The following is a 12,204-nucleotide window of genomic DNA, read 5'->3' as shown; positions in this document are numbered from 1 at the left end:
TCAATTTTGGCTTTTGTTGCCATTGCTTTTGGTGTTTTAGACATGAAGTCCTTGCCCATGCCTATGTCCTGAATGGTAATGCCTAGGTTTTCTTCTAGGGTTTTTATGGTTTTAGGTCTAACATTTAAATCTTTAATCCATCTTGAATTAATTTTTGTATAAGGTGTAAGGAAGGGATCCAGTTTCAGCTTTCTACATATGGCTAGCCAGTTTTCCCAGCACCATTTATTAAATGGCCATCAGAGAAATGCAAATCAAAACCACAATGAGATACCATCTCATACCAGTTAGAATGGCAATCATTAAAATGTCAGGAAACAACAGGTGCTGGAGAGGATGTGGAGAAATAGGAACACTTTTACACTGTTGGTGGGACTGTAAACTAGTTCAACCATTGTGGAAGTCAGTGTGGCGATTCCTCAGGGATCTAGAACTAGAAATACCATTTGACCCAGCCATCCCATTACTGGGTATATACCCAAAGGACTATAAATCATGCTGCTATAAAGACACATGCACACATATGTTTATTGCGGCACTATTCACAATAGCAAAGACTTGGAACCAACCCAAATGTCCAACAATGATAGACTGGATTAAGAAAATGTGGCACATATACACCATGAAATACTATGCAGCCATAAAAAATGATGAGTTCATGTCCTTTGTAGGGACATGGATGAAACTGGAAATCATCATTCTCAGTAAACTATCGCAAGGACAAAAAACCAAACACCGCATATTCTCACTCATAGGTGGGAATTGAACAATGAGAACACATGGACACAGGAAGGGGAACATCACAGTCTGGGGACTGTTGTGGGGTGTGGGGAGGGGGGAGGGATAGCATTAGGAGATATACCTAATGCTAAATGACGAGTTAATGGGTGCGGCACACCAGCATGGCACATGTATACATATGTAACTAACCTGCACATTGTGCACATGTACCCTAAAACTTAAAGTATAATAAAATAAAATTAAAAAAAAAAAGGAAAGGAAAATACATGCATGCCCAGCAACTGTAATACAAAATCAGATCATGTTCTGAATGGGATGCATCCCTAAACCAAGAAAGGTATTTGTGTCTGGACACATTAAAACAAACTCACAGAAAGTGTTGTCTTCTTTCACTAGCATGGTCCAAATTGGATTATGGATGTACAGGTGTAGATGAGTAATAGTGTGAGTAAAAGACAGAATATTAGGCCCAGACAAATGGGAAAATGTTTCACATTCAGGATTTCCTGAGACATTGTTTTGGTATAGCTGGAACCAGAGAAATTGTAAGGCTTTGAATGCATCAGGGAACAAAGTGGCAAAAATGGTATTTGCAGATTCTGTCAGTGTTTCCTAGAGCATATAAACTGAGAAAATTGGTGTGTCCAATTTAGAAGCTCTGAAAGAAGATACATATTGCAAGGAAGGTGTATTAGTCTGTTCTCATGCTGCTGATAAAGACATACCCAAGACTGGGTAATTTATTTAAAAAAATAGGTTTAATGGACTAACAGATTTGTATGGCTGGGAAAACTTCACAGTCATAGTGGAAGGTAAAAGTTACATCTTACATGGTGGCAGACAAGAGAGAATGAGAACCAAGCAAAAGGGGAACCCCTTATAAATCCATCAGATCTCATAAGACATATTCACTACCATGAGAGCAGTATGGGGGAAACTGCCCCCATGATTCAATTATCTCCCACCAGGTCCTTCCCACAACATGTGGGAATTATGGGAGGTGTAATTCAAGATGAGAGTTGGGTGGGGACGCAGAGCCAAACAATATCACTCTGCCCCAGCCCCTCCCAAATCTTATGTCCTCCCATTTCAAAACCAATCATGCCTTCCCAACAGTCCCCCAAAGTTTTAGCTCATTTCAGCATTAGCAAAAAAAAGGGGCTAAAGGCCCCAGGCAAGTCTGAAATCCAGTGGGGCAGTCAAATTTTAAAGCTCCAAAATGATCTCCTTGGACTCCATGTCTCACATCCAGGTCATGCTGATGCAAGAGGTGTGTTCCCATAGTCTTGAGCACCTCCACCCCTGTGGCTTTGCAGGGTAAAGCCTACCTCCTAGCTGCTTTCATGGGCTGGTGTTGAGTGTCTGTTTTCAGTTGCATGGTGCAAGCTGTCAGTGAATCTACTATTCTGGGGTCTGGAGGATGGTGGCCCTCTTCTCACAGCTCCACTAGGCAGTGCCCCAGTGGAGACTGTGTGAGGACTTCAACCCCACATTTCCTTCTGCACTGCCCTAGCAGAGGTTCTCTATGAGGGTCCTTCCACTGCAGCAAACTCCTTCCTGAACACCCAGGCATTTCTGTCCATCCTCTGAAATCTAGGCAGAGGTTCCCAAAGTCAATTCTTGACTTCTGTGCACCCTCAGGCTCAACACCACAAGGATGCTGCCAAGGCTTGGAGCTTGTATCCTCTGAAGCCATGGCCCAAGCTGTACCTTAGCCCCTTTTAGCAATGGCTAGAATGGCTGGGGCTCAGGGCACCAAGTCCTTAGGCAACACACAGCAGGGGACCCTGGACCTGGCCCAGGAAACCATTTTTTCTCCTGGGCCTCTGGGCCTGTGATGCAAGGGGCTGCCTCAAAGTTCTCTGACTTGCCCTGGAGACATTTTCCCCACCGTCTTGGAGATTAACATTTGGCTTCTTGTTACTTACGCAAATTTCTGCAGCTGGCTTGAATTTCTCCTCAGAGAATGGGATTTTCTTTACTATTGTATTTTCAGGCTGCAAATTTTCCAAATTTTTATGCTCTGTTTCCCTTTTAAACCAAACTGCTTTTAACAGCACCCAAGTGAACTCTTGAATGCTTTGCTGCTTAGAAATTTCTTCCAACAAATACCCTAAATTATCTCCCTCAAGTTCAAAGTTCCACAGATCTCTAGGGCAGGGGCAAACTGCCACCAGTCTCTCTTTTTTTCTTTTTTTTCTTTTTCTTTTTTCTTTTTCTTTTTTTTTTTTTTGAGATGGAGTCTCACTCTGTCGCCCAGACTGGAGTGCAGTGGTGCAATCTTGGCTCACTGCAAGCTCCGCCTCCCAGGTTCATGCCATTCTCCTGCCTCAGCCTCCCAAGTAGCTGGGACTACAGGTACCCACCACCAAGCCTGGTTAATTTTTTTGTATTTTTAGTAGAGACGGGGTTTCACCGTGTTAGACAGGATGGTCTCGATCTCCTGACTTCATGATCTGCCTGCCTCGGCCTCCCAAAGTGCTGGGATTACAGGCGTAAGCCACCACACCTGGCCAACTGCCACCAGTTTCTTGGCTAAAACATAGTAGGAATCACCTTTACTCCAGTTCCTAACAAGTTCCTCATCTCCATCTGAGACCACCTTGGCATGGATTTCATTGTCCATATCTTTATCAGCATTTTGGTCAAAACCATTCAACAAGTCTCTAGGGAGTTTCAAACTTTCCCACATTTTCCCGTCTTATTCTGAGCCCTCCAAACTGTTCCAACCTCTGCCTGTTACCCAGTTCCAAATTCGCTTCCACATTTTCAGGAATCTTTACAGCAGTGCCCCACTCCCATACCAATTTACTGTACTGGTCTGTTCTCACACTGCTGTTAAAGACATATCCAGGACTGGGTAATTTACTGAAAAAAAAAAACAGGTATAATGGACTCATAATTCCACGTGGCTGAGGAGGCCTCACAATCATGGCAGAACAGAAGGCAAAAGGCAAGTCAGTCTTACATAATGGCAGGCAAGGGAGAATGACAACCAAGCAAAAGGGGAACCTCTTAAAAAACCATCAGATCTCATGAGACTTATTCACTACCATGGGAAAAATGTGGGGGAAACTGCACCCATGGTTCAATTATCTCCCACCGGGTTCCTCCCACAAGTGAATGTGTATTTGTCCTCCATGCATTTTTTCTTCCTCTTTTCCCTCATATAGCCAGGCATTTATAGATAAATACATGCAATAAAACAATACTGTTTTTCACTTATGAACATATATATGTAATAAAAGTATGAAGAATGGTCTTAAGAATGAGAAATCCAAATTCTTGATAGTGGTTACCCCTGGGGAAGAAGAAGTCTAATGTAATCAGAGAAAACTTCAAAGAGAGTTTCAACAGCATATGTAATGTTTTATTTCTTAATTCTAATATATAGAAGCCTATTATATTATCTTCCATAACTTTTTGTATGTCTGAAATATTTAATAACAATGTTTTTATAAGCTTTAACTGTAATTTTAAAAAGAGTCCATACTAATTTAGCAAATATGGGAAACATAGTCAAGTCCAGAATTAAATTTGTGATCAACCAACAACTCTACCACACATTATTTTCAAAAAATATATTATATCTGGCATTTCCTTCCATTATGTTGTCTTTATATGCATACAACAATGTGTATACATATGTGTTTTGCAAAATTGAAACATTATGTGTAATTTTCAGTATCTCCCCTTTTCACTCTTTAGCTATTGTAATTTTGCATATTTTAGAAAGTTTATGCTTATATTACTGTTTTCTTATGTGAATCATCTCTTGATGTCAAATATCCCCACCTCTCTATTCATTTTGAATACATACAGATGTGTGTGTATATATAAGAAATTTACATTTCTAGAAGTTATGACAGAATTGAGCCTAAATAACTAAATAAATGAATCGTATTAAATACAAGTAAATGGGTTAACTCAAGAGATATACCTAAAACAAATATACTCAAGATAGGTTAAATTTTTTTAAATAAACAAGAACATTTCAGTCAGCTACAAATAAAAATAACCAGGGTTATAATCTTTCTGTTTATGAGGGTAGAAGAGAGACCTAAGTAGATTAAAGAAGTTTTCCTTGTAGAGGTTGTTCACATCCTTGGTTAGGTATATTCATAAGTTTTTTTTTTCAGCTACTGTGAAAGCTGATTTCACAATAGCTGGATTTCAGCTTGATTTGATTCTCATCTTGGTCACTGGTGGTGTATAGCAGAGTGACCGATTTGTGTACATTAATTTTGTATCCTGAAACTGTGTGAATTTTCTAGGTTAATCTCATTAATGATCTATCAATTTTATTAGTCTTTGTAAAGAAAGAGCTTTTTGTTTCATGTATCTTTTGTATTTTTCTGTTTCAATTTCATTTAGTTGTGCTTTGATCTGTTATTTTTTTTATTCTGCTGGATTTTGGTTTGGTTTGTTCTTGTTTCTCCAGTTCTGAGAGGTGTGCCCTTAAACTATTTGTGCTCTTTCAGACTTTTTGATATAGGCATTTAATGCTATGAACTTTCCTCTTTGCACCACTTTTCCTGTATCCCAGAGGTTACATATCCTCTGTTCGCTGTATCCCACGGGTTGTGTCACTATTATCATTCAGTCAAAAAATTTTAATTTCCATCTTGATTTCATTGTTGGCCCAATGATTATTCAGGAGCAGGTTATTTAATTTCCATGCATTTGCATGGTTTTGAGAGTTCCTTTTGGAGTTTATTTCCAATTTTATTCCACTGTGGTCTGGGAGAGTACTTGATATAGCTTCAATTTTTAAAAATGTACTAAGTCTTGTTTTATAGCCTATCAGATGCTCTATCTTGGAGAATGTTCCATGTGCTGATGAGTAGAATGTGTATTCTGCAGTTGTTGGATAGAATGTTCTTTAAATATCTGTTAAGTCTATTTGTTGTAGGGTATAGTTGAAGTCCATTGTTTCTTTGTTGACTTTCTGTCTTGATAACCAGTCTAGTGCTGTCAGGGGACTATTAAAGTCCCCACTATTATTGTGTTGTCATCTATCTCATAAGTCTAGCAATAATAGGTTAATAAATTTGGAAGCTCCAGCGTTAGGTGCATATATATTTAGGACTGTGATATTTTCTTGTTGGACTGGTCCTTTTATCATTATATAATGTCTCCTGAAGACAGCAGAAACTTGGTTGGTGAATTCTTATCCATTCTGCCATTCTGTATCTGTTAAGTGGAGCATTTAGGCCATTTACATTCAATGTGAGTATTGAGATGTGAGGTGCTATTCTATTTATTGTGCTATTTGTTGCCTGAATAACTTGTTTTTTCTTCATTGTGTTATTGTTATATAGGTCCTGTGAAACTTATGCTTTAAGGAGGTTCTATTTTGGTGTATTTTGAGAATTTGTGTCAAGATTTACAGCTCCTTTTTGCAGTTCTTGCAGTGCTGGCTTGGTAGTGGCAAATTCTCTCAGCATTTGTTTGTCTGGAGAAGACTGTCTCTTTCCTTCATTTATGAAGTTTAGTTTTTCTGGATACAAAATTCTTGGCTGATAATTGTTTTGTTTAAGAAGGCTAACAATAGGACCCCAATCCCTTGTAGCCTGTAGGGTTTCTGCTGAGAAATCTGCTGTTAATCTGCTAGGTTTTCCTTTACAGGTTACATGATTTTTTTTACTTTGTCTTGACTTTAGATAATCTGATGACTATGTGCCTAGGTGATGATCTTTTTGCAATGAATTTCCCAGGAGTTCTTTGAGCTTCTTGGATTTGGATGTCTAGATCTCTAGCAAGGCCAGGGAAGGTTTCCTTGATTATGACCTAAAATATGTTTTCAAAACTTTTAGATATCTTCCTTAGGAACACCAATTATTCTTAGATTTGGATGTTTAACATAGTCTCAAACTTCTTGGAGGCCTTTTTCATTTTTGTTTTAATTCTTTTTTTTTTTTTTTTGTCTTTGATGGATTGGGTTAATTCAAAAGCCTTGTCTTCAAGCTCTGAAACTGTTTCTTTTGCTTATTTGATTCTGTTGCTGAGATTCTCCAGTACATTTTGCTTTTCTCTATGTGTGCCCTTGATTTCCAGAAGTTGTGATTGTTTTTTGTTTATTCTATCTTTTTCACTGAAGAATTTTCCTTTCATATCCAGTATCGTGATTTCAATTTCTTTAAGTTGGACTTCACTTTTCTCTGCTGCTTCCTTGATTAGCTTAATAATCAGCCTTCTGAATTCTTTTCCTGTAAATTCCAATAGTTTATCTTGGTTTGGATCCATTGCTGGTGAGCTGGCATGATCTTTTGGGGGTATTAAAGAATCTTGTTTTGTCATATTACCAGAATTCTTTTCTGGTTCCTTCCTATTTGGTTAGACTATGTTAGAGGGAAGGTTGGGATTCAAGGGCTGCTTTTCAGACTTTTTGGTCCCACGGGGTGCTCCCTTGATGTGGTGTTCTTCTCCTTCCCCTAGGAATGGTGCTTCCTGAGAGCCAAACTGCAATGATTGTTTTTGCTTTTCTGGGTCTAGTCACCCAGCACAGCTACCAAACTCTAGGCTGGTACTAGGGGACAAAGGACAAATATCCAGAATCTACAACAAACTCAAACAAATTAGTAAGAAAAAAGAAATCAAAAAGTAGGCTAAGAACATAAATAGACAATTCTCAAAAGAAGATATGCAAATGGCCAACAGGCAATGGAAAAATCCTTATCACTAATTATCAGGGAAATGAGAATCAAAACCGTAATGTGATACCTCACTCCTGCAAGAAATAAAGACAGATCTACCATTTGATCCAGCAATCCCACTACTAGGTATCTTCCAGAGGAAAGAAAGTCATTGTATGAAAAAGATACTTGCACATGCATGTTTATAGCAGCACAATTTGCAATTGCAAAACTATGGAACCAGCCCAAATGCACATCAATTGAGTTGATAAAGAAAATGTGATTCCCTATTTAATAAATGGTGTTGGGAAAACTGGCTAGCCATATGCAGAAAACTAAAACTGGACTCTTTCCTTACCTTATACAAAAATTAACTTAAGATGGATTAAAGACTTAAACATAAGACTTAAAACCATAAAATCCCTAGAAGAAAACCTAGGCAATACCATTCAGGACATAGACATGGGCAAAGACTTCATGACTAAAACACCAAAAGCAATGGCAACAAACACCAAAATTGACAAATGGAATCTAATTAAACTGAAGAGCTTCTGCACAGCAAAAGAAACTATCATCAGAGTGAAAAGGCAACCTACAGAATGGGAGGAAAATTTTTGTAATCTATCCATCTGACAAAGGGCTAATATTCAGAATCTACAAAGAACTTAAACAAATTTACAAGAAAAAAACAAACAACCCCATCAAAAAGTGGGCAAAAGATATGAACAGACACTTCTCAAAAGAAGACATTTATGTGGCCAACAAACATATGAAAAAAAGCTCATCATCACTGGTCATTAGAGAAATGCAAATCAAAACCTTATGAGATACCACCTCATGCCAGTTAGAATGGTGATCATTAAAAAGTCAGGAAACAACAGATACTGGAGAGGATGTGGAGAAATAGGAATGCTTTTACACTGTTGGTGGGAGTGTAAACTAGTTCAACCATTGTGTGGAAGACAGTGTGGCGATTCCTCAAGAATATAGAACCAGAAATACCATTTTGAGCCAGCAATCCTATTACTGGGTATATACCCAAAGGATTATAAATCATTCTACTATAAAGACACATGCACGCATATGTTTATTGAGGCACTGTTCACAATAGCAAAGACTTGGAAGCAACCCAAATGCCCATCAATGACAGACTGGATAAAGAAAATGTGGCACATATGCACCATGGAATACTATGCAGCCATAGAAAAAAGGATGAATTCATGTCCTTTGCAGGGACATGGATGAAACTAGACACCATCATTCTCAGCAAACTAACACAATAACAGAAAACCAAACACCGCATGTTCTCACTCATAAGTAGGAGTTGAACAATGAGAACACATGGACACAGGGAGGGGAACATCACACACCAGGGCCTGTCGGGGGGTGGGGGGCTAGGGGAGGGGTTGCATTAGAAGAAATACCAAATGTAAATGATGGGTTGATGGGTGCAGCAAACCACCATGGCACATGTATACCTATGTAACAAACCTGGACGTTCTGCACATGTACCCCAGAACTTAAACCATAATAAAGAAAAAAAAATTAGCCAGGCATGGTGGTGGGCACCTGTAATCCCAGCTATTCAGGAGGCTGAGGCAGGAGAATCGCTTCAACCCAGGAAGTGAAGGTTGCAGCAAGCCGAGATCGTGCCATTGCACTACAGCCTGGGTGAGAAGAGCAAAATTCTGTCTCAAAAAAAAGGTCTATTATGCTTCTGTATATGATGTCAGATCTAGTGGTTCTGCAGCGGCTTGCTAAATGGAGAAAAAAGTCCCCTGTCATTACTAATGAAGAAAACTGTCATCTCTATCCCACTGGTCTTATGAAAGATAATAGGTGTTTTCCCCGAATATCTAAAAAAAAAGTTATATATGGAATACTATTCAGCCATAAAAAGGAAGAAAATAATGGCATTCTCAGCAATCTGGATGGAACTGGAGACTATTATTGTAAGTGAAGTAACTGAGGAATTTAAAACCAAACACATACGTTCTCATTCATATGTGGGAGTTAAGCTATGAGGACACAAAAGCATAAGAATGATACATTGGACTTTGGGGACTCAGAGGAAAGGGTTGGGGGGTAACAAGGGATAAAAGACTACACATTGAGTACAGTGTACACTGCCCGGGTGCTAGGTGCACCAAAATCTCAGAAATCACTACTAAAGAACTTATTCATGCAACCAAACACTACTTGTTCCCCAAAAATGTATTGAAATAAATACATACATACATACATAAATACATAGATTAAAGAAGACCGGAAACTTTACATTTGATAATTCTGAAGGCTAAATTTAACAAGGAAGATTTGAGTTATTAATACTTTTTTACACACACAGCAAAAAATACTCATAAACACTAAACGTGGCAAGGAGAAATCAAAAGAAACACATTAATAAAAGATGATTCTACCACACTTACCTCCATCCAAGAATACTCAAGTGGTGAAAATTTAGAAAACATAAAGAAATTCTAAAGAACATAATTTAAATGGTAGATCTTACAGACCTACTTAACTCTGATGCCTGATATTAAAGAATACAACTACATTTCAGATAATCAAGAAAATATTAATAGAAATCAACTGTGTCTGAAATTGCTGAACAAATTTGAAATAAAATGGAAATAGATTAAAATCACAGAATTAGATGAGGATAGTGATAATGAAAACAAAACATATCAGAATCTAGAGCTAGAGGAGTTATCACAGGAAATTTTATAATATTAAATACCTAAATCAAAAAATTAAAATAAATGAATTATATATTCTATTAAAAATACTGATAAAGAACCATATTGTAACTAAAAGAATGCAGAAGGAAATAATCACAACATGTAAAAGTAGAAGTGAATGAGTTAGGAAAAATGACAATAATATGTGTACAGGTTTATACTGGCTTGGTCAGCAAAGTGAATAAACCACTGGATAATTTAATCAAGAAAATAGAAAATGAATTTTAAAAATTAATCAAGAAAATATAAAAAATTTAAAATGACAAGGAAAAATAGTTATCCAATGAAAGGAAGTTTTCAACACTCTTAAATTAATAATTTGCACAACTCTATTCACATACATTTGAAAACACGGATGAAATGAATAATTTCTAGAAAAATACAACTTGCAAAAATTGATCCCAGTAGAGATAGAGAGTCCAAACAGATGAATTACATCAAAGATCATTTAAAACATTGGTTAAATTTCTCCCATGCAAAAGTACCAGGCCCAGAAATCTCCAAAGAAAAATTCTACCAAACCTTTTAAGGTAAGATCATCCTAATATGAATTAAATTATTCCAAGCATGAAGGAAAGAAGAAAAATGTGCATATTCTTATGATGAATCAAGTATACAATTGATTCCTGTGACAGTTAATTTTATGTGTCAATTTGACTGGGCCACAGGGTGCCCAGATATTTGATTAAACATTTCTGGGTGTGTCTGTGAGGAACAGTCTGGATGAGATTAGCACTTGAATCAGTAGGCTGAGTAAAACAAATTGTCCCCAGTATGGGTGGGCCTAATCTGGTCTTTCGAAGGCCAGAATAGAATAAAAGGCTAATAAATCTTTTTTTGCCTGACTGTCTTTAAACAGGGACATCAATCTTCTCCTGCCATTGGACTCAGACTCAGATGGGAATGTACGCCTTTGGCTTTCCTGATTCTCAGTCCTTCAGACTTAGAATGGAAATATTTCACTTGTTCTCTTGGGCCTCCAGCTTGCCCACTACAGATCTTGAACTTCTCGGGCTCCATAATCACCTGAGCCAATTCCTTCTCTAATGATCAGCGATGAGTTGTTTTTCATATGTTTGTTGGCCGCATAAATGTCTTCTTTTGAGAAGTGTCTGTTCATGTCCTTTGCCCACTTTCTGATGGAGCTGTTTGCTTTTCTCTTGTAAATTTGTTTAAGTTCTTTGTAGATTCTGGGTATTAGCCAACTTGATTGTGGTGGATAAGCTTTTTGATGTGCTGCTGGATTTGATTTGCCAGTATTTTATTGAAAATTTTCTCATTGATGTTCATCAGAGTTATTGGTCTGAAGTTTTCTTTTTTTGTTGTTGTATCTCTGCCAAGTTTTGGTATCAGGATGATACGGGCCTCATAAAATGAGTTAGGGAGAAGTCCCTCATTTTCAATTGTGTGGAATAATTTCAGAAAAAAAATGGTACCAGCTCCTTTTTTTACCTCTGGTAGAATTTGGCTGTAATTCCGTCTGGTCCTGTGCTTTTTTTGGTTGGTAGGCTATTTATCATTGCCTCAATTTCAGAACTTGTTATTGGTCTATTCAGGGATTAAACTTCTTCCTGGTTTAGTTTTGGGAGGGTGTATGTGTCCAGGAATTTTTCCATTTCTTCTAGATTTTCTAGTTAATTTGTGTAGATGTGTTTATAGTATTCTCTTATGGTTGTTTGTATTTCTGTGGGGTCAGTGGTGATATCCCCTTTATCATTTTTTATTGTATCAATTTGATTCTTCTCTCTTTTCTTCTTTATTAGTCTAGATAGTGACCTATTTTATTTCATTTTATTTTATATTATTTTTTTCAACAAACAAGCTCCTGGATTTATTGATGTTTCAAAGGGTTTCTCATGTCTCTATCTCCCTTCAGTTACACTCTGATCTTGGTTATTTTTTGTCTTCTGCTAGCTTTTGGATTTGTTTGCTCTTGCTTCTCTGGTTCTTTTAGCTGTAATGTTAGTGTGTGGATTTAACATATTTCTAGCTTTCTGATGTGGGCATTTAGTGCTATAAATTTCCTTCTTAACACTGCTTTAGCTGCATCCTAGTGATTCTGGTACATTGTCTCTTTGTTCTCACTG

Source organism: Homo sapiens, chromosome X (genome assembly GCF_000001405.40).
Source record: "Homo sapiens chromosome X, GRCh38.p14 Primary Assembly".
Taxonomy (NCBI): Eukaryota; Metazoa; Chordata; class Mammalia; order Primates; family Hominidae; genus Homo; species Homo sapiens.
Note: the sequence above shows the minus strand (reverse complement) of the source record.